The sequence below is a fragment of the Homo sapiens genome, chromosome 9, assembly GCF_000001405.40.
Source record: "Homo sapiens chromosome 9, GRCh38.p14 Primary Assembly".
NCBI classification, from domain to species: domain Eukaryota; kingdom Metazoa; phylum Chordata; class Mammalia; order Primates; family Hominidae; genus Homo; species Homo sapiens.
Window position 1 is genome coordinate 99,827,730 of NC_000009.12, and position 27,786 is coordinate 99,855,515.

A 27,786-nucleotide genomic window follows, 5' to 3' on the forward strand; every position below is an offset into this window, starting at 1 on the left:
AAAACATCTCTGAGCTTATGAGGAAAGACTTCAAGTTTCCCAAATCTAGTGGAGGACAGGGCAAGGGAGGAAAGATAGGTACAGGAGTCCACAGGAGGCCAGGTTTTGGCACCCCTTTGTCAGGAATTCAGCTTCCTTACTAGGGATGAAGAAAATAAGTGTGGGGCTTTGTGTCTATGCTACCAGAAGGAGGAGAGGATGACACTTCCTCTCTGTTTCCCAGATTAGAGAACAGTGAACCCAATGCTGCCTGTTGGCTAGAAAACAAGTGTTAACTTGCTTCTGAGAGACCCTTTTCTCTGTCCCTGCAGATATGCCCTGCGTCCAAGCCCAATATAGCCCTTCCCCTCCAGGTTCCAGTTATGCGGCGCAGACATACAGCTCGGAATACACCACGGAGATCATGAACCCCGACTACACCAAGCTGACCATGGACCTTGGCAGCACTGAGATCACGGCTACAGCCACCACGTCCCTGCCCAGCATCAGTACCTTCGTGGAGGGCTACTCGAGCAACTACGAACTCAAGCCTTCCTGCGTGTACCAAATGCAGCGGCCCTTGATCAAAGTGGAGGAGGGGCGGGCGCCCAGCTACCATCACCATCACCACCACCACCACCACCACCACCACCATCACCAGCAGCAGCATCAGCAGCCATCCATTCCTCCAGCCTCCAGCCCGGAGGACGAGGTGCTGCCCAGCACCTCCATGTACTTCAAGCAGTCCCCACCGTCCACCCCCACCACGCCGGCCTTCCCCCCGCAGGCGGGGGCGTTATGGGACGAGGCACTGCCCTCGGCGCCCGGCTGCATCGCACCCGGCCCGCTGCTGGACCCGCCGATGAAGGCGGTCCCCACGGTGGCCGGCGCGCGCTTCCCGCTCTTCCACTTCAAGCCCTCGCCGCCGCATCCCCCCGCGCCCAGCCCGGCCGGCGGCCACCACCTCGGCTACGACCCGACGGCCGCTGCCGCGCTCAGCCTGCCGCTGGGAGCCGCAGCCGCCGCGGGCAGCCAGGCCGCCGCGCTTGAGAGCCACCCGTACGGGCTGCCGCTGGCCAAGAGGGCGGCCCCGCTGGCCTTCCCGCCTCTCGGCCTCACGCCCTCCCCTACCGCGTCCAGCCTGCTGGGCGAGAGTCCCAGCCTGCCGTCGCCGCCCAGCAGGAGCTCGTCGTCTGGCGAGGGCACGTGTGCCGTGTGCGGGGACAACGCCGCCTGCCAGCACTACGGCGTGCGAACCTGCGAGGGCTGCAAGGGCTTTTTCAAGGTGAGCGCACGCCGCCCCCTCCCCTCCGCACCCAGCCCCCTCACTGAAGGGAGCTTCTAAGTGAGTGTAGGAGCATCCTTGTTCTTCCCGGTTTGAGAGCTGTAATCGGCACATCATGCTTTCCTACAGCCCTTCCTAGCACCTTCACATCCATTTTCTCAGGGGCTTTCTACTGAGGTCCATGTGCAGCAGGCCACCCCAGACGGACTCCGGGGGTCCGTGAACCTCCTGGCCTGACACTGCCCTATGAACATTTTTCTGGAGAGCTTTCAGCAGAGTCTTAAAAGGACCTGTGACTTCGAAAATGCAAAAACCTCATTGCTTTGTCTGTCCATCCAGGGTGTCTGAGGGGATAGTGTGTGCGTACCAAGCCCTGGACATTTGTGTCTCATTTAATCCTTACAGTAAGAGCTGGGGCTCTAGAGTCAGACACATCTAAGATTGAATTCTGGCCACTCACTAGCTATTTTTAGTAACAGTGTTTTAAAACAGTGTTTTAATTTTCTTTGTTTTGTAGATGAGGATGTTGAGGTTTGAAGAGGTTAATCAGCTGCCTCAGGACACACCTTCAGAGAAGGGAGATGGAGGCAGGATGCCAACCCACGTTTGCGTGACCCCAAAGTCCATTCCCTTTTCACAGCTCTGCAGCTCTAGGAGACAGGGACAACTGTCTTCTTCTATGGAAAGAGCTGCCTCTTTCCATAGAAGATAGAACTTGGGGTCTTGTGTCCTCTAGGAACCTTTCCCTACCTCTGTATCACATGCGGTGCCAGGTGTAGACATAATTCATTCCCTCATAGGCCTAACGGAGAAATTTTACAGTGGGAGGGCCATCAGCCTCCCCCATATTTTACCCACGAGGAAGCTGAGGCCTGGAGCGGTGAAGCCTTATGCAGGCTGTAAGCAGTGATTTAACTGCCCATGAGATGTTTCCAGCTGATTTGTCCTGACTCCTGAGTTCAGTGTTATTTCTGCCACTTAGGGAAAAGACCTTGCTCTTTTGCTGTGCTACCTTTTGCTGTTGACTCCCAGACTTTATCAGACACTTACTTCTGTGCCATCCTTCTCACTCCTCACCCCACTGGCCATTATTTCAGTCATTTACAAACCCACACAAATTATTCCTTATCCTCTAGTGCTGGACAGGGTAGAAAGAAAGAGAAAGCAGGATGCTGACTGGGTAACTTGGATTTGGGAGGCCAATAGGATATATCTGGGAGTACACCAGAATTAGTGAGAGAAGACTCAAATAGAAGACCTTGATCTTCCACCTTCCAATTGTATCATGTTGGGCATGACACTTCATTCTAAGCCTGTTTCCCTATCAATGAATAAAACTCAGAGAAGAGCTGTGTATTCAATGAGATAAAAATATATATGAAAGTGCTTTATAATCTTTAAAGAGCTGTACAGATAGTTCATTATTAAACAAAAGCTATAAAGTTTTGTAAAAATGCACATTTGTGGAGGGATATACATAGCAACAAGCAACAATTATTTTTGATCTTCAGATTGTAAATATCACTACCTGAATTCTGCAGAGAAATGAGAAAATGTTTGGGGAAAGACTGCAATACGTTAAGTGCCCTACAGATATTTGGGATTATGATGTTTTAAATGCAGAATCTTGGTCATTTTATTTTATTTTTTAGCCACTGAGTTTGGCCATTTTTTGTTTTAACTACTCAAGCTTTATCAGAGCTACTTTCAAGTAACTGCATTCCTTTAGCAGATTTGATTTTTACAGGATTTCAGTGGAAAATGCTGAAGGACAGTGAAACTGGCAGCAGAAAGGGGGAAAGAAAAAAACAAGAATTATGAATAATCTACAAATATAATTATCTCTAAATAATGGAGAGTTGACCAAAATACCAGAGTGGTAATACATTCTGAGTCCAGAAATGTCAATTAAGTGTTCCCCAACAGCTTCTCTTTTCTGCAGCAATCCCTCGAAAACAAATCTATACTTGAAAGGGTGGGGGCAAGATGGGGGAGAATCACCCCACAGAACTGTTAATTAAGGGAACCGGAGCAGGTTTTACCCAGTGGCTTTCTACCATTAAATTGAGTTCTTTAAAAATGTGACATGAAGTGCAGTTAATGATAGGAATTCGGTGATTGAACCATAATGATCTCTCCCTGTCCTTAAACACAAATGTAGGGAAGGCTTCAGGTTATTGGGAAAATGTATACCTGAAGCAAAATGCCATCAGCACTCAAATTGGCATAAAGCCTTGAGGATGATGGCAAGAAATAGAGTGTTAGAAATTACTGCATGTTCAATGAAAGCTTTATTCAGGAAACACACGTTTCCTACCCTTACAGACTGCTAAGAATTTAAATGCTGGAACCTCAGAAGTATGCCTGTGTTTCAGAATTTTGCATTTTAAACTAAAATCACCTACTATGGTGGGAGAAACATGTCTTAGACTTGACATAGGTTGGCTTTGTTATATTAAGTTTTATATAAGCAATCTAGAAACTATCCCCTAAAATGAAATTAAAAGGTAACAGGGTAAAACTGAAACATGGGGGTTGAGAATGACTGGAAGTAAATGTTAAAAAGCAAATCTAGATGTTTGAACACAAAATAGATCATAAAGCCCAAGTTACCTGGATTTATTTTCTTTTTTTATTAATGCAGCCCAGGCTTCCCAAATAAATTTCAACTTTCTGCTCTATTTGGAGTTGTATAGATCCAGGTAATTTCTGAACAGTTTCACCCTAAGTGGTAAAAATACGTTCATTTGCACAAATGTTTTCAATTTAAAAAGCAAGCATTTGTTTAAATTTGGAGGACGAAATATGTTTATTTCTCCATGTGTCATTTCCAAATTATATGGATTCTGAAAAATACAACATCATTTTTCTATCCAACCTTAAGTTTTATGATTTTTTTTACAATATGGTTACTGTGTCTATGTCAATAGACATTTATGAAATGACCTATTAATAGGAATTTTCACTGAAAATATATGGCTGTCATATATCTTTCTTTGTCTCATTTTTCGTTTGTACCTTGGGGTTTTTTGTTTTCTTCCTTGGATATAATAATGATTTGTAATAACTACTTTTAAGATTTTGCTTTGAAAAATCAGGAATGGACTGTTTATCATATATGGTCTTTAAAGATAAAATAAGCTATACAGGCTGATTAAGTTAGTTTTTTTGCATTAAAACATTATTTCCTATATGTTTTAATTAGAAAAATCCTGATTTTGGTTTTTATGATTTCATCTCTGTTGGGTAACAAAGCCAGTTACTGTGATATTTGACTTACAATAGTGATAGCAAACAAAGTACATCCCAGATAATTTTGATTTTATTTTAATAAGGTCAGCAATAATCAGGGGAGTGGAACAAGTAGAAAATTGTTCCCAAAGGGATATTAAAAGTGGAGATAATCTAATTCTCCAAGGTATGATATGTTGACCTGGTAATTTCAGATATGATTTTATCATTCAGAGTTGGGTGTCTCCTGAGACTTGCTTTAGAACAATCCGAGATGATTTTCATTGTCAGCAGCTAACACTAATAAAATTGTTTTTCCTGCAGGCTAGCGTTTTAGGAAATTAAATTTATCGAATTATACGAATTGCACTGTCGCTTTTCACATTGTAATTAAAATACATCTTGTCAGGTCCTACCTCTTTCCAGAAACTATCAGTTGACTATCTTGTATTATATTTTCTCAGAGAACAGTGCAGAAAAATGCAAAATATGTTTGCCTGGCAAATAAAAACTGCCCAGTAGACAAGAGACGTCGAAACCGATGTCAGTACTGTCGATTTCAGAAGTGTCTCAGTGTTGGAATGGTAAAAGAAGGTATGGATATAATGCTTTTTACCCAGTTTGCTTATACATATTATCAGAAATCAGTGAAAAAAAGCTAATATTTACATTGGGATGGTGAATTTTTCTAGTTCCTTTTTCCTTTCAACATTTTATTTTTATCATATATATCTACATTTTAAAATAACTGAGGACTATTTATTCTAATTTCTCAAAATTAACAGAGGACTTGTATACATACATCTTTGTTCTATTTAAGAAGGAGACTTTTAGGGCTAATTCATTACCAAATGTAAATATCGGTGGCTTTTATGCTGCTTGTTTCAACTCTCATGAAATCATTGTGTGAATATTATTCCAAACTTATTACCACTTTTAAATGGTTGGTCTCATTAATGATTGCTCAACTGTAATGTGTTTTTATTCCTTTTTGCGATTTATGGTCGTTCATTCCATAATCTTTGAAGATTGTTTTCTTTGTCTCTTTTGGCATCAGTTGTCCGTACAGATAGTCTGAAAGGGAGGAGAGGTCGTCTGCCTTCCAAACCAAAGAGCCCATTACAACAGGAACCTTCTCAGCCCTCTCCACCTTCTCCTCCAATCTGCATGATGAATGCCCTTGTCCGAGCTTTAACAGACTCAACACCCAGAGATCTTGATTATTCCAGAGTAAGTTTTATGATTTCCTGCTTTCAAATGAATGATCAGGGTCTCTATTTATGGCTACTAGTAATAAGAGTTGATTGAATGATTTTGTGTCTGGCACCATGTTAGACAGTTTTCATACTTTTTCTATATTTCTCGCTTCATTTAGCAATTCAGTGCATCCATTGCAGCAAATAATTTTTGCCTTATTGAATCTCTAAATGCCTTAACAAGTGACCCTGACAGTGCTGCACCTGTCATACACATTGTTGCAGGATTCCTGGTGGTTGTGCCAATGAAAATCTGCACAGACAAACTACAATTTGTAGATTTATCTCGTGATCTAGACAAAGTGACTACTGTTTTTTTTCATATTGTGTTCAAACCATCTGGGTGAGCCTCAAGTTATTACTAAGCAGTTTATCCAATTGCATCAGCATTGATTGACCTGCTGCTTATTCAGAGGGATTAGACCATTGGTGGAGAGAAGCGAGCTCTGGCTGTGACATCAGTTGTCAGGAGAACTGGGATGGAACGCCACCTCTGCTACTTCCTGCCTGTGTCACCTGGTTCCTGCTTTTGGCTCTCTCCTGCCTACAGTGGAAATGGCTACAATATTTAACCTCAGAGGGGTGTTCTGAACACCAGTCACACAAGAATGATGGTTGTGAAAATGTTTTTAAGACCATAAATGACGATTGGTGTTGTTATAGTTAAGTCAACCAAAACATATCAACATTTTTATTTCATATGGGATATAGTAAAATCCCATCAGTCTGAACCCTGCAAATTCCTCAAAATTTGGATAACACAGAGAAGAACCATGAGAAAGGATTTCCTGAGCAAATGAATAAACAGCTCTGTAAGGCAATTTCTTTAAAGGACTTAGAAAACTAAACTTCTAGCAAAACAGGGTCTCAATGAAGAGGGAAGAGAAGGAAAAAAAATCACAATTATTGAGCAGTTTCTATATGCTAGACATTGTGGTACATTATCTCATTTAATCCTTTAAACCACCATGAATTGTAGGAATCATTATCCCTCCTACTTGAAGGAAAACAAAAACAAAAACAAAAACAAAAAACCTTAGAAACACAGCTTGCACTCAGATAAAGAAATACCAGTCCAGAGGCCCCCAGTCGGTTGATCTGTCTTGGTGGCTACTACCAAACTGCCCTCCCCAGGTCTAATCAGTGTTTCAAGCTTCTGGCTGAATGGCTGGCAAACAGTGTGAGTGTGTCCCTGCTATGTGCCCTTCTCCTTAGGTTGCAGTGTTGATAGAAATGATTAGTGTACCTGCTGTGATCCTCTTTCCCTCTTCCCCACCCTCATTATAGGCTGCGAAGCCTCCTCTCTGCACCTGATAACAAAACGTCATATGAGAAGCATGGTAGATCCTTAGCATCAAAGGTTGAGGACTCTTATTCTGATTATAAGTAGTGGCTCTTGACTACAATCAAGTCTCAAATAATAGTGTAAGAGAATAAAGCAGAATAATAAGACTAAGTTAACAGTTTAGGCTTCTTTGGAATCATGCGGGCCTAGATGAAAATCCCAACACTGTCCTTTACTAGCTAAGTGACCTTGAGCAACTGATTACACCCTTTGATGCCTCAGTTTTCTCCTCTGTGTTGTGGGGTAATAGTAATATCTACTTCCTGGGGTTGTTCGTGAAGATTAATTAACAATTATACTTGTCAAAGCTTTAGCACAGTGCCCTGTATGTTATTTCCTTGGCCAAACTTTCTTACTCTGCCATTTGTTCAATGTCCTAATGAGCATGAACACTACATTAGGTATCATGCAGAACACTCTAAAGATAAGTATTATGATCTCTATTTCACAGATAAGGAAATTTAAACTGGGAGAGGCTAAAGGGCTGACTTGCCCAAGGTCACTGAACTAATATGCAGCAGAGACAGAATTAGGAGCCAAGTATATTAAGAGCCAAGTGTATTGAACCTAAAATCTGGGCTCCTAAATACCAAGCTTCACTGCCTCTCTGGTTCCAGTGAGAGTGGGTGCTAGAAAAGTATTCAGGAATGAAGAGTTCTCCTCCCAGAAGCACCCTGGCCTCTCCAAAGGCAGTTCATCTGAATTAGTGAAGCTTCTTAGCACTGCCTAGGCTAAGGCTATAGCACACAATCTGACATTGCTCCAGGGCATTTGAAAGCACAATAGATGGTCAGTACAGATAATTTAGGCCTCAAAAGTAATTTTTTGGCCCCAAATTATCCAATTATCAGTCTACATGGCCTAATTAGTCATTCAATGGCAAACCTTTCCCAGCACTTTGAGTTGTCCCAGCTGGGAACTGTCCCCACACTGAAAAATCAATCTAGTGTGTTTGCTTGCCTCTGCACCATTCAGTCTGTTAGTCTAGAGTCATCATCCTCATCAACAAACATTTATCCAATTTAATTGTTAGCTTTGTCCAAAATAGCAGATTGACCATGCCAGAGCCTGGGTCACATTGGTACTACCTTTGGGGCCTGGCTCAATTTTGCAAAGCATATTTATTTTAATTGCATTATTTTGGAATCAGGTTGAACCTCATAACTTGGATTCCCCTGCTTTTAGATGGCATTACACAATTATCAAAAATTGGACCCAAATCAACTAAATTAAAAGACTTTTTAAAAATACAGTGAGTTTTCATCAAAAACTTGGATGAAAGCATAAAAGCATGCTGATCACATTTGCAAATGACAGAAAGCTGGGAGGGATCGCTAATATGATGGATGTCAGTATCAACATTCAGAGTGATCTCGACAGGTTGGAACAGGAAGGGCTGAAACCATCACAAAGAAAGTTAACAAAAATAAATCTGAAGCTCAGCATTTAGAATTTAAACAAATGGGAGAGCCTTGGCAAAGTGGTTCATGTTAAGAAGATCTGGGGAGTTTATTCCATATACACTCAAAATGAACCAACAAAGAACGTGTGTGGTAGAAGGGAGGGATGCCACATTACCTTCAGCTGCAGTAGTAGGAGTATGGGCAGACCCAAGTTGATGATGGTTGCATGGACTCTGTCCTGTCAGACTGTTCTTCGTGAATTGAGTCCAGTTCTAAGCTGGGATTTACTGTTTCTGGGAACTTGTAATGGATGATTGGGGGAAACAGAAATATGTAGGCAAGAAGGGAAAAGATTTGGTGAAATTGGGTCACTCTTTTGCCCTATGGCAAAAAGAACTATTCTCCCAAAGACAGATCTAGAGAGAGGAGGGGGGCCTCTTCCCGCTCACTTGTCTGATAACAAGTGTTGGCCATACTAGCTGCTGTGGAAGTGTGAGTTCATCAACACAGGGAGTAATTAAGGTAGTTTTAGTTTTAGCTTTTTGGGGAACCCCCATACTGTTTTCCATAATGGCTATACTAATTTACATTCCCATCAGCAGTATATGAGTGCTCCCCTTTCTCTACATTCTCACCAGCATTTATTTTTTGTCTTTTTAATAATAATCATTCTAACTGGGGTGAGATGATATGTCCTTGTGGTTTGGATTTGCATCTTCCTGTTGATTTGTGATGTTGAGCATTTTTAAACATACCTGTTGGCTATTTCTATGTCTTGTTTTGAAAAATGTCTATTTAGGTTTTTTATCTATTTTTAAATAGATTTTTTTTCTGCTATTGAGTTGAATTCCTTATATATTCTGGTTATTAATCCCTTGTCGGATGGATAGTTTGCAAAATTTTCTCCCATTCTGTAGTATTTCACTTTTTAAATTGTTTCCTTTGCTGACCATCACATATATTCTTACATAATTTCACTTAAGACTCCAGCTCTGTGTGGTATTATTTATGGTTTGAGTAATTTCCTTAATAATGTCATTCACTGAAATTCAGTTTTCATAATACCTTCCTTCTTAAAGTTTTACATATACAAATTCATAAAACTGGAGTGACCTTGGGATCATCTAATCCAAGTCCCATATTTTCAGAAGAGTAAATTAAGGTTTAAAGGGGTTAACTGGCTTGCCTAATGTCGGTGACAGAGTAGAGGACAAAATCCAGATCTCATCACTCAATAGGTTTCTATTTCATCATACTGTCACTTCTATTTAATGACAATTTATTATATTTTTGAACATATAAACTTTATTAAATATTTTTAAATTACAATAATAGTAATATATATCCATTGGGGTTTTTTTTTAAAGGCAACCATTTACAAGTGGATAAAATGAAAAATGAAAGTCTCTACTTCATTTATAGCTGCCCGATCCCACTCCTTAGCCGTGTTTTAGTGTGTATCCATAATCTATTACATTATAAATAAGAATTTGCCCTGTCAAGTTTGAGAGTTGATTTGAGCCCTACAATTTATTAAAGATGCTAGCTTCCCCCAGTGAGTCAGGTCAATAGAGAAAGGAGGAAATGTGTTGCCAGCCCAGTATGTTTTAATCTTCATGTACTAGCATGTGTTCCTTTAAGGTAGTAAGTGAGCAGTTTTCTCCATTTGTGGGAATGGGAGGTGGAGGGGTTTTGTTCCAAGTCACAGAGGAAATGAATGTTTTAGAGGCCAGAAAGAGCTCCTGAGTTCTGTGAAGCATTCCTGGCTCTGGGACCTTCAGTTCTCCTTTGGGCCAAACTTCTCTCCCTCAAAAGTGAGCTCAGATCATTGTACATCAGTGCAGTCAAAACATGTCACGTTTGATTTGTCTCTCCTCAAAATGTTTCTGTTCTCTGCACCACAGTTGCTTTTAATTTAGCAATACAAGTATGTATAGATACTGGGATTAGCTTCAGAGCCTGCATAATTACTAATGAGAAAACATACTTAGTGTCCTCATTAGTTGATCATTTCAAGTATTTTTCAGCATACTAGGATGTTTTCTGGTAATCAGTGCCACTTAACGGAGTAACAGACTTGCAAATACGAGAGGTGCTGCTCAGATAAAACCAGGCACCAGCAAATGGCATTTAAATGTGTTCACAAGATAGCCTATGAAACAATGTGGCTTAAGACACGTTAGAACTACAAGGTAAACAGAATGAAGCTGCAAAAAGAGTGGTTTCATGAAGCATCTCAGAAGACCCTCTCAAATTGTTACCAATTCACCAGATGATTTCACGCCAGTTCCTGCCCCTCTGTGGGCCAGTTTCCTGATCCAAATGGTAAAGAGATTAAGCTAAATTCATTCCCATTATCTCTCCAGGCTTCTCATTCCCTGATATTCTGACCATAATATTAATAACTGCTATAGTTCCACTATGAGTACAGGTCAGCATTTCCTAAAACATGGTGCCCAGACTGCTCCTACGAGAAAGAGGTGGGGTGTTTGCTTTAAAATGCAGATTCCCAGGCCATACCCACTCAGACATACTGAATCAGAACTGGGAAGAAGGAGAGGCAGGCAAAAATCTGTACTTTAAAAAGTGCCATTGGATGATTCTTTGGCACACTAAGGTTTGAGAACCATCGATATAGTTTATAATAACAACTCAATTTTACCTTGAATTTTCCAGCTTTTCCTGGGGTTGAGAAGGGATGAGCAATAGAGATATAAATTTTCCTGAAAGCAATCAATTCATTTAACAAATACTTACTGAATGGCTGCTAGGTAGTAGGCACTGTTCCAGGGCAATGGACACGTTGCTGAACAAGACAAAGCCCTTATCCACATGAACCTTACATACCTGTAAAGGAGAAAAAGAGTAAACAAATATACAATTGCAGTGATGTCATTGGTGGGAGGAGAGGAATTTTTTGCTTTTTGCTTTTTGGAGTGGGGGCATAGAGTTAGATCAGAAAAGAAAAAATTGGGGGGAAAATATATTCATTGCCAATTTTTAAAATGTCACTTTTTAAAGTGTAAGAACCTAAGAATATGTATACATAGTTTGACTTATACAATGATCACATCTAAAATTTTTAGAGCTATAGTTGAGAAAAGTAACATTTTAAGGGGAGAAAAACGTGTCCTTAGCGTAGTCTACATATTTAGCCAGGGCTGAAAGTGAGATAGAGTAAATATTAGATTCCACTCTGCTATTAAAGCCTCACATCACTAATTTTTGAGGGGTGGTGTTTTCCATGGGTCTCACTTAATTTCCACACAAATATCTCATTTGGGGCCTGGGCTATTGCTGAAGTCTGACTTGTATAGCTGCGTTACTGCCATATGAAACACACAGACCCATTTTAGTTTACATAATATCCATTGCTGTTGTTTGCAGCTCTAGATTCCCATTCTAGGTGCTTTAGAGAAACCTTCCTTAGGCATTGGCTGTCAGTAAATGTAATACTGTGTCTTTGACTAGTGAGAAAGCCAGAGTTCTGACAGATCAATAACCCCTATAGGGTGGAAAAAAATTAGTATAAACAGGAAAAAAGTTCATTTAAAAAAATCTTTTTGCATTTGACCTATGTTCGATTGGCATGATCAGTAAGCAAATATTTCTAGATTTTCTTTGTCAAACCCCAAACCTACTTAGCCCAGAGACAGAGCAATCAATGTAGGGCAGCAGAGACACAGAGCTGGGAGTCCAGTCCTTCCAACTCTAGGACCAGTATTCATTGGGTGAGGTTTTCCTAAACTGGTAGGCCAGGCAGAGAAAAAATCTAAAACGTTTTGTTCCGTTCCTTTACATCTTATGTCCAATAGAGGAGATTTTTCTTTTCCTCCAGCATTGGATGCTGACCCTCCAGTCACCCCCAAGTTACTGGTGGCTCAGACTGAATTCACTTTGGCTCCAAAATTCTGAGACTTGGACCAAAACCACTGCAGGTGAAGCCCAGAGGATCTGGCTGGAGCCTGGCAGGCTGGGCCGGCTGGCTTTCCTTCTTGCTGGGCTCCATCAGAGAAAAGTACACACACAGGGTGGGCAGGGACTTCACTTCCCTGTGTGCAGAAGGCATGAAATGTGAGCCCAGCAGGGGCAGAAGCCTGCAGAGGACCCTGGGTGAAAGCTACACACTTTGATGGATTCTGAACAAATATTGGAAGCAGAGAGATTGTTGAGTTGTGAGCCATGGATTCAGGGGAGTCAGTGCAGGAGGTAGCTGTCAGATCCATTCTCAGGGGAAACTATTCATTCTTTAGTCTTTTTCTCTCTCCCACTATTTTAAAACAAAATAATGCTGAATCAGTGTCAAGTTCCAGGCAATAACATCATACCTGGTGTGATTTAGCAATATTTAGAATCATTTAATGCAAGAGCCAGAAGTAATCTTAGGGATCAGGTAGTCCACTTTATTCCTGTTCCAGAGACTGAAACTGACTCAGAGAGGTTAAATGCCTTGTCTAGAACTGCACAGCAAGTCAGTGCAGAGCCTGGATGAGGACCCCATGACCTGCTGCTTGGTCCAACACACTTTCCTTTACTCCCACTCATTTGGGAGTTTCACAAGTAGCTCCCTCAGCTTTTGAAAGGGAGGATCTGCCCTGAATTTCATTCTGCTCTTGGAGAGCCTGTGGAATTATTAAATAAATTCATAAATAAGGAGAAAATAAAAAAGGGGAAAGTTAATTCCCTTTTCCCCACTCTCTTCCAGTTAAGAGTCTGTGTGCTGGTGGGGCGCGGTGGCTGATGCCTGTAATTCCAGCACTTTGGGAGGCCAAGGCAGGTGGATCACAAGGTCAGGAGTTAGAGACCATCCTGTCCAACATGGTAAAACCCTGTCTCTACTAAAAATACAAAAATTAGCTGGGCATGTTGGTGTGCGCCTGTAGTCCCAGCTACTCGGGAGGCTGAGGCAGGAGACTCGCTTGAACCCGGGAGGCAGAGGTTGCAGTGAGCCAAAATCATGCCACTGTACTCCAGCCTGGCAACAGAGCAAGACTCTGTCTCCGAAAAAAAAAAAAAAAAGGAGGAGGTAGTGGCAAGTGTCTATGACATAGGATCGTGCCGCCATGCTTCCTTCTCCTGGACTTTGCTCCCATGGTCTATTACAACACAGAATATTCAGGACTTCATAGAATCCCAGGCATTGTGTAGGATTGTTGGGAACAGAGAAGCCAGGGCTCTGAACTGGACCAGATGTTATAGGATCTTAGAACATCAGGGCTGAAAATCAAAAACTTTCTACTTCAACCCATTCCATTTCATAAATATGGAAGCTGAGGGATGGTGATTATTTCAGACATCATAACTGCTATCAATATCATCACTGTCATTTGTTAATCATGTACTATATATCAGGCCCTTTACATATGTTATCACATTTAATCATCACAGCAAAATTTTGAGGAAGGCCAGGGATGGTACACATGGTAATCCCAGCATAGATTGTAGGGAGGTCCAGCCAGGTGGATCGTTTAAGCCCAGGAGTTCAAGACCAGTGTAGGCAATATGGGAGTTCAAGACCTGCCTAGGCAATATAGGAGTTCAAGACCAGCCTAGGCAATATAGAGACACTGCCTCTACAAAAAATAGAAAAAATTAGATGGGCGTGGTGGTTCCTGCCTGTGGTTCCAGCTACTCAAGAGGCTGAGGTGGGAGGATCGCCTCAGCTGGGGAAGTCGAGGCTGTAGTGAGCCCTGATCACACCATTGCACTCCAGCCTGAGGAACAGAGCGAGACCCTGTCTCAAAAAAAAATTTTTTTTGAGGAAGGTATCCCCATTTTACAGAGTAGAAAGCTGAGGTTCATAAAAGCAAAATGATCCTACATTATTTCCCATATTAGGGGCCAGAACAAAATTGAGATTAAAGTAGCTGGACTCTCTGATTTTTTTTTTTTTTTTTTTAGTTATTTAATACTGCTTCTTGGGAAAACACAAAGAAAAAAAGACCCAATTAAATAAGCGTCTCATTTCCTCTCACCCAGGTAGCTCCACAGTAAGCACCTAGTTGCTTATTAGCTGTTTCTTCTCCAACCAGGTTAGGATATTACAGCAAACCTAAGCACTCTTCTGACTATTCTTTCATTGAAAAAATATTCAACAGTTATTTATTGAGGTGTAATTATGTGCCAGTCACTGTACTGTTGACAGAAACATAGGACCAATGAATACATACCTGGAGAGCTCCAGTGAGAGTAAAGCAAAATGCTTTTTAAAGATTTCATAGGCCAGACGCGGTGGCTCACGCCTGTAATCCCACCACTTCAGGAGGCCAAGGCAGGTGGATCACTTGAGGTCAGGAGTTTGAGACCAGCTTGGCCAACATGGTGAAACCCTGTCTCTACTAAAAATACAAAAGTTAGCCAGGCATGGTAGCACACACCTGTAGTTCCAGCTACTCGGGAGGCTGAGGCACGGAATCGCTTGAACCCAGGAGGTGGAGGTTTCAGTGAGCCAAGATCGTGCCACTGCACCCCAGCCTGGGCGACAGAGCAAGACACCATCTCAAAAAAAAAAAAGATCCCACCAGCTAGTAACATCAGACATACTTAATAGCTAGGAGGGGTAAAACTTGAAATCACAGGGTCAGCATAAGTCCTGGCTGTACCACTATTGGTTGTGTAACTTGAGAAAATCTCTTAGCTTCTCTGAGCCTCAGTTTTTTCACCTGTAAAATAAAGATTAAAATCCCTACCCATGAGGATCAGTTCAGAAAAGGAATGCAAAATGATGCACAGCCATGTTAATGTGAAGGAAATGATGTGCCTATTTACGTGTTTCTGTGTATCTCTTAAATCTCTGTGTTGTTGGCTGTCCCTTGATTAGTATCTTGCTGTGTCAGTCTTCCTGCTTGCAGCAGAAAAGTCTTTACTCCGGTGATTCAAGAAAAACTCTGGTTCCACCAGAATTTCTGAAAGCTGGGTGAAAACTTTATTCCTACTTATATCGTTCTGCTCTTCGGACTCTCTAGATCCATGCTGTCCAATAGACCTCCCCTCAGTGATGGAAATGTTCTATCCCACATTTGGCCATTGAACACTTGAAATATGGCTAACATGACTGAGGAACTGAATTTTTAATTTCATTTAGTTTTTATTAACTTAAATAGCCACAAGTCCTGAGTCTGATGGCACACAGCTGCCTGGGTTCTGCCAAAGAGACCTCTCTTTCCACCACTTCCTGGTTTGTTTTATCTCACAGAAATTCATCAACAGCCAGCAAAAATCATTCTTTCTCTTGTTGATTATTTCTGCGATTCTCAAACTTCATTGTGTATGAGAATCACCTGGAGATCTTGATAAGACAGTTTGGTGGGCCAGGCACGGTGTCTTATGCCTGTAATCCCAGTACTTCGGGAGGCTGAGACAGAAGAATTGCTTGAGTCTAGGAAATCAAGACCAACCTGAGCAACATAGCGATACCCACCCCCAACCCACGCCCCCATTTCTACAAAAAAAATTTTTTTTTGATGTTTGCTGTGTCTACCCCCAGAGTTTCTAATTCAGTAGGTCTGTGGTAGGGCCTGAGATTGTCATTTTTTTTTTTTTGGAGACAGAGTGCCACTCTGGCACCCATGCTGGAGTGCAGTGGCACGATCTTGGCTCACTGCAACCTCCACCTTGCAGGTTCAAGCGATTCTCGTGCCTCAGCCTCCCGAGTAGCTGGGATTACAGGCACATGCCACCACACCCAGCTAATTTTTATATTTTTAGTGGAGATGGGGTTTCACCATGTTGGCCAGGCTGGTCTCGAACTCCTGACCTCAGGTGATTCACCACCACCCCCCCACCCCCCAGCCTCCCAAAGTGGTGGAATTACAGGCATGAGCCACCGCCCAGGCCGAAATTATCACTTCTAACACATTCCTGGGTGTTGCTGATGCTGCCAGTCTGGAGACCACACTTTGAGAACCACTGGGTTAATTTAGCATCTCATGGGGAGACAGCTGTGCTATAGTGAAATGAGTAGACCCTTGAGATCTACTTGGACACAAACTCCTGGGGCAGTAGTTCTCAATTGGGCTACTCCACTTTGGAGTCACCTGGGGAGCTTTTAAAATTCTTGACCCCTGGGCTCCACCCCAGACCAATTAAATGAGAATCTCTAGGCGCAGGACCCAGACAAGAGTTGTTTCTTCAAGCTCCCCAGGTGATTGCACTGCACAGTCAAGGGTGAAAACCACTTTGCCAATTCGGCTTAAGCAAATTTCCTTGTCTATTAAGTGATAACGATAAAATTTGCTGTATTTGTATCACAGGGCCATTGTGAGAATCACATGAGACTGTGAATGTGAAGGGGTTTTATAAACTGTAACACCTAAAAGTAAGAATTTAGGCATTGATGGTCTTGGAAGGGCCTGTTTGCAAGTGATGCCATCATCCCCACTGAAGCAGGATAATGCTGCTCTCTCTGGTTTGCATTCTAGTACTGTCCCACTGACCAGGCTGCTGCAGGCACAGATGCTGAGCATGTGCAACAATTCTACAACCTCCTGACAGCCTCCATTGATGTATCCAGAAGCTGGGCAGAAAAGATTCCGGGATTTACTGATCTCCCCAAAGAAGATCAGACATTACTTATTGAATCAGCCTTTTTGGAGCTGTTTGTCCTCAGACTTTCCATCAGGTAATTACTACTATTTTATCTTCAGTCTACGTCCTTTGAAGAAGCCTGAAACCTTCTGTGTTTGTAACTGAATCATTGGTGAAACGTTTTCTCAAGAAGCAAATGTGAAATATGATCAGGCACTAAAAAGACTGAGCAGCGAGTCACGGAGGGAGCACTAGGCTTGCCACCAGGACCCGTGGGTTCTAGTCCCAGTTCTAATGTGGACTTGCTGTCACACCCTGAGCAGGTCACTTGCCTGACGGGAAGTTCAATTCCATCCTCCTTAAAAGGAAGAGGTTGGATTTGATGATCTCTTGAGGTCCCTTGCAGCTCCAACATTCTATGATTCTCGAAAGATTCTCATAGTGCATAAGCTATTTCCTGGGAGCAAGTGTTTGCTTTGGAACATTGTATTTACCTCGTGGGTTTCTGTTTAACAAGTTACTATTCTAGCACACCTGATGGGGCCCTAAAGAGTTCCCACACCTTCTCAACCCCCAGTTTTATTCCAAGAGAACACTCTTAGATAGAAAGATTTAGTCCATCCTATCATACTCAGTGACGCCAAACACAAAAAGGAAAAGTGATTTTTCAAAAACATAGAACCTTGGATCTAAGCTCCTCTAGTAAGTTCCACATGTAGATTTTTTAAAGTTTATTTTATTATTGTTTTTATTCACAAATAGCCTGTTTAACTCCATCTTCCTTGCTTCCTTTCAGTTATATATTTTTAGGAGATGATACCAACTTTTTACCAAATATTATCAGAAAAATCCATCTTTCCCCTCTTTCTCTTTCCTGCCATCACCTCCCCAATTTCATATCACTACCAGAAACTCCTGTTTAATTTTTAAAGTGCAGATTGCCAGGCCTCATTGCCATCTATTTTGGTTTGGTAGACTGTGGAAGTCCAGAAATCTGCATTTTTAACATATGCTTTAATGATTCTGATGTCATCAGGGTCCATGTTTTATACTCTGAGACTAAATCATTCTGTCCTGTGTATGCCTTCTGTGGAGGGATCAGTAGGAGAGATGGGGTGGAGTTACAACTAGAGTGCCAGTAATAGCTTAATTTGTAGCCAATCTAGTGTACACCAGAGCTGAGCCAGCAATGTGACTGTCATCTATTAGGCATGCAACAAAGGATTAAGTAGACTGTAAGCTCCATGCAGGCAGGTGCCATATATGTCCTATTCACCATGTTTTCTCCCAGTGCCTGGCTCCAGGAATAACACATACTTCATGCTCAGTAGACACTTGGCTGAGTGAAGGAATGAATGAAGCTGTTCATCCAAGAAGCACAAAGAGATATTTGACTTGTGAATACAACAGGCCAAGATAGATACATACGTGGCAAGAGATTTGAAAGTTAAAGGAAATCTAAGATTAAAGGAAGAACCACATATAATTCAGCCCCTTACTTGTTATACCCAATATTTGTCGAACCATCCTGTGTACTGGGCACCATGCATGGGCTTTCAAATCCTTTCTTTTATTTAATTCCCTCAACAATCTTAGGAGGTAGCAATTAGAATTTTTGTTTTATAAATAAGGAAAAAGAAGTCCAGAGAGATTTAAGGAGCACCCAAAGCCACACCCCAAGTCATCATGTCCACCTGGAAGTTCCAGGGCACCTATCATGAAAGAAGAATGAGATGATGATGGACATAATATAAACTATCAGGACAGATTTAGAAATAGCCCTCTGCAGCCCCAATGTTAAAAGCAGAGAAGGTAATACAAAATAAGGACTTGTTTTATGTTAGGCCACCCTTTAATTTGTGATAGACTTCTGGCACTTACAGGGACTTGATTTTTGTTTTGTTTTGTTTTGAGACAGAGTCCCACTCTGTCACCCAGGCTGGAGTGCAGTGGCACGATCTTGGCTCACTGCAACCTCCGCCTCCCAGGTTCAAGTGATCCTCCTGCCTCAAGCTCCTGAGTAGCTGGGACTACAGGTGCACACCACCAAGCCTGGCTAATTTTTGTATTTTTAGTAGAGATTGGGTTTCACTATGTTGCCCAAGCTGGTCTCAAACTCCTGACCTCAGATGATCCACCCGCCTTGGCCTCCCAAAGTGCTGGGCTTGCAGGCGTGAGGCATCGCACCTGGCCAGGGACTTGGTATTTTTAAAGTGTGCACAATGGAATTGTAGTGTCTAGCCTCAGGCCTTGGCAGTTTTTAACATTTAAGAAAATCAAGGACAAGCCCTGTCTCAGGATCCCTGGAGGGAACAGTCTCATGTTCATTGCTGAGAGAGGGGTGCACTGGGCTTCATCTCTGGAACCCATGAGTGCCTGCTCCCCCATTTCCTGTCCCAAGGAAAGCCAGTAATTGATTCTAGTAATAAGATAGCAGGTGCCACAGCCCATATCTTCCCCTGGGCTGATGTTCACCAAAGACATTAGCATAGACAAGTGGTGCTAGTTGTTTATCCCAGAGAACATAGTCTTATTCATTGTGGGTATCTGGCATGCTTCATAGCACCACACTGGGGTCCCAATGCTGCCCCATGGCTGTCTGTGTGCCTGTGTGTCATAATGTTATCATGTTGGACAGATTGAACAGACCTGTTTAATGTTTGTCTTCCTCTCACCTCCCAGGTCAAACACTGCTGAAGATAAGTTTGTGTTCTGCAATGGACTTGTCCTGCATCGACTTCAGTGCCTTCGTGGATTTGGGGAGTGGCTCGACTCTATTAAAGACTTTTCCTTAAATTTGCAGAGCCTGAACCTTGATATCCAAGCCTTAGCCTGCCTGTCAGCACTGAGCATGATCACAGGTAAGCACCACCTTGCCAAAACCGCATCCTCATTTCTCTCCTTCCCTTTGTTATGGTGGAATCTGGCCTTGACCACTACACACACCAGAAAAGTGGGAAAATGACTACCATTTTTCTGAAATCTGTTAAGTTTAACCTAGTTTAAGCAAAGAAACATGCATCTATAATTTGTTGTCATAAACTTCTAGTAAAGAGGATCCATAGTCTATTGAATTATCATTGTCAGTAAGCCCAATATACGAAAATCTAACTTCCTACTAGAGATCTGTGGACAGTGGGACTAGCTGCTTCAGGGTTTGTTTGTTTTGAGACAGGGTCTTGCTCTGTCACACAGGCTAGAGAGCAGTGGTGTGATCATGGCCTAGTGTAGCCTCGACCACCTGGACTCAAGTGATCCTCCCACTTCAGCCTCCTGAGTAGCTAGGACTATAGGCACATGCCACCACACATTTGTCCTGTTTTGTAGCCCTGTTTCACCCTGTTGCCCAGACTGGTTCAGTGTTCTTGTTACAAAGCCTTTCCTAGGGAGATTACCTAACCCAGCCCATTCCTGTGGAGCAGAGGTGATGAGGTTTCCCCTGTCCCCAGTTCTTGGCTAGCGACCTAAAGTAAAACCAAAACACTATAGACATATCAAATACAACTTGATTTAATAACTTCGATTGGCAAAGGACTGAGAAAAAGCAAAAATGGTTCAACTCAGCAGTTTTTTATTTTTATTTTTAAAATTTTATTATCATTATTTTTGAGATGGAGTCTCACTCTGTCGCCCAGGCTGGAGTGCAATGATGTGATCTTGGTTTACTGCAACCTCTGCCTCCTGGGTCCAAGCAATTCTCCTGTCTCACCCTCCTGAGTAGCTGGGATTACAGGTACCTGCCACCATGCCCGGCTAATTTTTGTATCTTTAGTAGAGATGGGATTTCATCATGCTGGCCAGGCTGGTCTCGAACTCCTGACCTCAATTGATCTACCCGCCTTGGCACCCCAAGTGCTGGGATTCCTGGCGTGAGCCACCACACCCAGCCAACTCAGCAGTTTTTTAACCACAAACATAAAAGATATTTGATTTATGCCTGTCTCCCTCTATAGATCTCTCTCTTTCTATCTTTTGGGAGATAAAGGATCCCAAGGTGGGGTGGGATGGAGAAAGGCGCGTGTTGGGCAAAGGAAAGAATATCATCTCCCTGTGGCCATGGAGGCCCTTGCCCCAGCTCCCTTTGCCCCGGGGGAGAGTTTCCTGTTAGACCTCATTCTTTCTGGTCAGACTGGGGCCTGGGGAGGTGGTGACAGAGGGTGGGGGCTCCAGAAGTGGCCAAATGAGGGGCTCATCCTTGACCTTTTGGTCAGACACAAGCACAGGCTTGGCTGTTGAACAGAGTTCAAGATCAGAATAATATGCTCTTGGCTATAGAAAACATGTTTCTCAAGCAGGTGGTGAGTTTCCAGAGCATCAAATGCAACCTCTGGTACAGATGGCCCCTTCTTTCTGTTTCACTGGAAATGTGCATTGGTTTGCCCAAGCATTGTTTACTTGCATTTCTTGGGATATCTCCTATTAGCTAAGGTTAGATGTGTCTGTGCCTTAAGAGGCTAGGCTGGTTCATCATTTGATGGTTGACATGCAGGCAAAGACAAGCAACTGGTATGGCTGCAATGAGGATTCAGACAGTAGCTGTTCCTTCAGTATTCCAAATGGAAACTGACTTCCTCCTGGTCTTTGGTCCAGGATGAGAAACTCACTTTTTTTTTTTAATGGGGCTGCTAGACTTCCAAGAGAGCCATTAACGAAACAAAAACCAAGGCAGTCTCAAAGAGTATGGATTCCATTTGGAAGGCTTTCAAATGGCATACTGGAGCATCTGAAGAAAATAAACAGATTTAAGGCACAAGCATATTACTTCATCAGGACTGGAAGGAAACTGGTTCAAGGCTGCCTTTGAACTAAAGCTCTTTAGTTCAATTTCAAAACCATTCAGCAATTCCTACGTCAGTTAAACATTCAAAACTAGAAAGTATGGAGTTTAGTTCATTTTAAAAAGACAAAAACAAAAAACTAGATCCAGCTTTGGATTCCTACAAGTAAAAGCAGTACATTGCTTCATCTCCATGGCAACGAGTGTTGAGTCTAGTTAATCAACAAATATTCACTGACCTAGGCACCATGCTGCATGTCATTGGGTTTTCAGAGATGATAACACACATCCCTAGAGGACATAGACATGCAAAGTACCACATGTGATGCAAGGTGTTGAGTGCCACCATGGAGACAAGGGAGTGAGTTCAAAGTGCTCAGAGACAGCAGGTGGGGGTGGTCTTCTCAGAAGAGATCACAGGAGCTGGTCCTTTGTAAGTGCAGAGGATGTCTCCAGGCTAAAATGGAAAAAGTGAGAATCCAGGCATAAACATTTGCCAAAAGCCATTGAAAATATGGCTAAGTTTCAGAAAGGAAACAGCTGAAAATTGGAGTGACAGGAGATGTGACTGGTCTGATAGGTCAGGGTGGGGCGGGACATAAAGAACCTTCCACGCCTAGGTGAGGGGAGCAGAGTTTATCTTGAGAACAACGAGGATCCACAGGTTTTGTCCAAAGGAGCTTGATGGTCAGGTTTGCGTTTTAGAAAGATTTACCCTGTCAGTGAGTTTTGGGCATAGATTAGAGTGAGAAAGAATCTAAGAGGAAAAAGGCCAGTCCAGGTGTGAGAGCCATGATTCAAGAGGAGGGTCCATCCCTGAAGGCCACATCTTTGTTTCACTCTTTAAATGGAAATTGACAGATATCTAAGAGGCCAGGACGTGTGGGTGCCAGGAAGACCCAACCTGGAGAGACTGGGCAGTTCAGTGCAGAGAATACAAAGTAGAAATTAGTAGAAGGGTGGTGCTGGTCCTCTTTCTGCATCCCATTTGTTCTATTCCCTGCAGTTACAGCTGCTCAGCCCGCTGCCCATTTATGTGGAGATTGGCTGGGGGAGGAGGCAGTTTGGCATGGCAGAAATAGCATGGACTTTGGAATCGAGCACGCCCAGATTTTAATCTTCAGTCCTATGTTTAATAAGTAGGCGCTATTGGGGAACACATTTCAGTTCTCTGAAATTCAGTTTCCCCATTTGTAAAATGGGGATAACAATGTCTATGTCATAGGGCAGCAGTGAGGATTACAGAAAATTTAGTTGGTGATGTAACCAAACTGGATTCAGGATAGGCAACTCTGAATTCACCTATGGTCCCCCTTGGAGTGATAGTGACAGATTCCCTCAAGTTAGGCATATGCCTTCCCCTACCCCTTGGAAGCATCAAACTCAGTGGCATGAGGAAACAGGTGGTGGCTTTAGAAGGCAGTATGTTTGGTGACAGTCTCCTTGGATGCTTAAGAGAGAGGCTCAAAGGAGGATAGTGATATTAAAGTAATTAAGCTGCACTTAACAAGCACTTACAATAGACCAAGTGCTCTACAGTGGTGTCTTTGGGCCTCCCCGACCAGGTAGCTCCTGTTCCTGCCCTCATTCCTGCTGTGGTTTTAGCCTACAACAAAAATAAGCCCTCTTCTCTCATTTCTGGACCTTACAACAAACACTCTCTTTGTGACTTACTGGTTGAAAGTGGGTTTGATAAGTGTGAAAATATCAGGAAATGGCAGAAAAGGCAATGCCTGGGAAACAGTGTGCATTGCTGTGAATATTAATTTTCATTTGAATATGAGCTGCCATGGATCTTGACTTCTGAATAAGCTTCGTTGATCATAAATGGTGATTGTGGAGTATCAGCTGGGCTATTTACATTACAAAATTCATCCCAAAACTGTCTTTTCTTAAACCACAGAGAGCTCATGAAAAGGAAATGGCATCTTAGAAGTTTAACTAGGCTTGCTTCCAGGAAAAGTATTAAGAATCTGGATTAGTATTGGTGGTTTGCACAAACATGGCTTTTTTTTCTCTCATTCTTTTTTTCTTTGTCCTCCTCCTCTCTGTACCCCCTCATGAAAAACTAGGCGGTGAAGTGGGGCAGGAAATGGTTTCATTCAGATCACTCTCCTTTCCTGCAGTAAACAGGGGGTTCCCCACAGTGGTTGGCTTTCAAACGTTTTTCAGGTTCCCTGTTTATCTACCCTAACCATTGCCCTTTGCCAGTGCTGCATCTCTGAAGTAATGCAAGTGCTTTGAATCTGGTGGGATACCAATGAGTTGATATCTGGTTGCAGTTAATAATGTTTCATAAATAAGAAGCCCCCTCACCAAACAGAAAGTTAGTGTGGCATTACCATTTTATAAATATCCACTCATTAAATAAGCATCGAGGGCCCACTATGTACCAAGCATTGTACCAGTCTCTTGGGATGCAAAGATGAGCCAGGCACGCATTCTGTTGCCAAGAAGTGGGCAGTCTACTAGGAAGTCATAGATTATGATATATAAACTTGATGTATAGTGATTAGTGCTCAGGCCCTGAAAAGGGACAGATGCAGTGTAGAGTAAGTCCAGATTACTGCTAACTTTTTTGAGGTGAAGGAAGGTAGAAGTGTTGGTCATGAATGACTTCCCAAAGAGGTAGCATCTAGACATGAGAAGACATAAAGAACATTCCAGATGAAGGAAAGAGAACAGCAAGGGCATGGCAGTTGAATGCCTCAGTACAGTTTAGGGTTAAAACAATTACAGTGGAGTTGCATTGTGCATATATTAAAATCACACATATGATACAAGTAGAAAGAGGAGAAAAATTAAGAGTGCAGGCTATTGCATTTGATGACTGTATGTCCTGGAGTGAGCATGAATCCACTGTAGGTCATGGTTTCTCTGCCTCTGGTGATGAGTGGTGAGATGATGTCTTGTGCTTTTGGGAAAGTTAAATGATTTTCAGGGATAAAACTAATTCTATGTGATATTTACCTTCTGGCTTGATGTGATGACCTAACCTCAGAGCAAAACGCTTTTCCTGTACAGAAATAGGGGAAATAAGATTGGAAAGATAGTTTTGAACCAGATGGCAGAGGGAATCTCAAGTGCTCAAATGCCATTTTGTTGTTCCCCATGGCTTTCTTTTCCCTACTCAGGTCATCTCTCAGGTGAGAAAATGACTCCTTTCTCGTCTGACTCTAGTCTTTTTCCTGGTCTTATTGAAACACGACCTCTAAGACTGAGAAGGAGGAAGGAGGGCAGAACCATGGCAGAAAGTAGTGAAACAGTGACACAGCAGGACTAGACAGGTGGCTGACCACGGCACACCCTCCACCATCTGTCTTTCCAGAGCTCCACTGCTCACTGTAAATGGTTACCTGGTTACCCCTGCTTTTGCATCAGATAAAGCCATCAGCTACATTGCAAGGAAAACTAAATATCAAACTTAGCGGGGCAAAATAGTTAAAAACAAAAATGGTGGGAGAGGGGAGAGGCCACAGGATTTAGAGACCGGAGATCTGAGTTCAGGTCTTCACCCTGAAATGTGCTGTCTTTGCAATCTTGGACAAGTTCCTTACCCTCTCTGAATCTCAATTTCCTTCCTTCTCACAGGGTTAAAGATGTCTACTTTCAGGTTTCTTATAAAAATTGAATGAACTAATATGTACTATGCAGAAAAAAAATTAGACAAACCTTCACTGTTATTATTTGTTTTACACACTTCCATGAAGAGCCAGCTGTCTTGCTAAGAATCCATAAAAGTGTTCATGCATCCCTGCAACTGAATATACACATTGTGTTAGGGAATTTCTTTTTTTTTTTTTTTTTTTATTATACTCTAAGTTTTAGGGTACATGTGCACATTGTGCAGGTTAGTTACATATGTATACATGTGCCATGCTGGTGCGCTGCACCCACTAATGTGTCATCTAGCATTAGGTATATCTCCCAATGCTATCCCTCCCCCCTCCCCCGACCCCACCACAGTCCCCAGAGTGTGATATTCCCCTTCCTGTGTCCATGTGATCTCATTGTTCAATTCCCACCTATGAGTGAGAATATGCGGTGTTTGGTTTTTTGTTCTTGCGATAGTTTACTGAGAATGATGGTTTCCAATTTCATCCATGTCCCTACAAAGGATATGAACTCATCATTTTTTATGGCTGCATAGTATTCCATGGTGTATATGTGCCACATTTTCTTAATCCAGTCTATCATTGTTGGACATTTGGGTTGGTTCCAAGTCTTTGCTATTGTGAATAGTGCCGCAATAAACATACGTGTGCATGTGTCTTTATAGCAGCATGATTTATACTCATTTGGGTATATACCCAGTAATGGGATGGCTGGGTCAAATGGTATTTCTAGTTCTAGATCCCTGAGGAATCGCCACACTGACTTCCACAATGGTTGAACTAGTTTACAGTCCCACCAACAGTGTAAAAGTGTTCCTATTTCTCCGCATCCTCTCCAGCACCTGTTGTTTCCTGACTTTTTAATGATTGCCATTCTAACTGGTGTGAGATGATATCTCATAGTGGTTTTGATTTGCATTTCTCTGATGGCCAGTGATGATGAGCATTTCTTCATGTGTTTTTTGGCTGCATAAATGTCTTCTTTTGAGAAGTGTCTGTTCATGTCCTTCGCCCACTTTTTGATGGGGTTGTTTGTTTTTTTCTTGTAAATTTGTTTGAGTTCATTGTAGATTCTGGATATTAGCCCTTTGTCAGATGAGTAGGTTGCGAAAATTTTCTCCCATGTTGTAGGTTGCCTGTTCACTCTGATGGTAGTTTCTTTTGCTGTGCAGAAGCTCTTTAGTTTAATTAGATCCCATTTGTCAATTTTGTCTTTTGTTGCCATTGCTTTTGGTGTTTTGGACATGAAGTCCTTGCCCACGCCTATGTCCTGAATGGTAATGCCTAGGTTTTCTTCTAGGGTTTTTATGGTTTTAGGTTTAACGTTTAAATCTTTAATCCATCTTGAATTGATTTTTGTATAAGGTGTAAGGAAGAGATCCAGTTTCAGCTTTCTACATATGGCTAGCCAGTTTTCCCAGCACCATTTATTAAATAGGGAATCCTTTCCCCATTGCTTGTTTTTCTCAGGTTTGTCAAAGATCAGATAGTTGTAGATATGCGGCATTATTTCTGAGGGCTCTGTTCTGTTCCATTGATCTATATCTCTGTTTTGGTACCAGTACCATGCTGTTTTGGTTACTGTAGCCTTGTAGTATAGTTTGAAGTCAGGTAGTGTGATGCCTCCAGCTTTGTTCTTTTGTCTTAGGATTGACTTGGCAATGCGGGCTCTTTTTTGGTTCCACATGAACTTTAAAGTAGTTTTTTCCAATTCTGTGAAGAAAGTCATTGGTAGCTTGATGGGGATGGCATTGAATCTGTAAATTACCTTGGGCAGTATGGCCATTTTCACGATATTGATTCTTCCTACCCATGAGCATGGAATGTTCTTCCATTTGTTTGTGTCCTCTTTTAGTTCCTTGAGCAGTGGTTTGTAGTTCTCCTTGAAGAGGTCCTTCACATCCCTTGTAAGTTGGATTCCTAGGTATTTTATTCTCTTTGAAGCAATTGTGAATGGGAGTTCACCCATGATTTGGCTCTCTGTTTGTCTGTTGTTGGTGTATAAGAATGCTTGTGATTTTTGTACATTGATTTTGTATCCTGAGACTTTGCTGTGTTAGGGAATTTCTTTGTGTCTTTCTTTACCAGCTAGACTGTGGGGTTCTTAAGGACAGGGAGAGTCTTATTTATCTTTAAAATTACTTTAGCATTTACAAGTATCTGGCATATGACAAATATTCATTGAATGAATGGGCCAATTGTGAGTATCAGAAAGTCTCCCAAATTAGAAAAATCTGAATTAATAATTTTTAGCCTACCACTGTTATGATAAAAGTATGAATTCTTGAAAATTGCCTTATTTTGATTCAGATTAATTCAGTAAATATTTATTGAGCATCAACTGTGCACCAGACACACATTCCCTTACCC

General features: G+C 42.2%; 1 protein-coding gene across 4 annotated transcripts in view, besides 1 other annotated feature; it reads left to right on the forward strand.

Annotated features, from left to right (window-relative positions):
* Nucleotides 1–27,786, forward strand: part of NR4A3 (nuclear receptor subfamily 4 group A member 3) — a 45,007-nt gene that overhangs the window by 5,845 nt on the left and 11,376 nt on the right. For 3 of the 4 annotated variants that reach the window (NM_173200.3, NM_006981.4, XM_017015162.2), the window contains 5 exons: nucleotides 312–1,264; nucleotides 4,960–5,089; nucleotides 5,553–5,725; nucleotides 16,920–17,119; nucleotides 19,708–19,886. In NM_173200.3, the coding sequence (NP_775292.1) occupies nucleotides 312–1,264; nucleotides 4,960–5,089; nucleotides 5,553–5,725; nucleotides 16,920–17,119; nucleotides 19,708–19,886 (1,635 nt within the window). Of the gene's footprint in view, nucleotides 1–311; nucleotides 1,265–4,959; nucleotides 5,090–5,552; nucleotides 6,573–16,919; nucleotides 17,120–19,707; nucleotides 19,887–27,786 lie in introns of those variants that run through there. The other variant, NM_173199.4, reaches the window with a different exon arrangement.
* Nucleotides 5,247–6,446: an enhancer, noted in NCBI's record as "MED14-independent group 3 enhancer chr9:102595258-102596457 (GRCh37/hg19 assembly coordinates)". NCBI's record gives its function as "activates an origin of replication core promoter dependent on BRD2, BRD4, P300/CBP and CDK7 cofactors, and independent of MED14, by STARR-seq in HCT116 cells {active_cell/tissue: HCT116}" and the evidence as "EXISTENCE:reporter gene assay evidence [ECO:0000049][PMID:35650434]".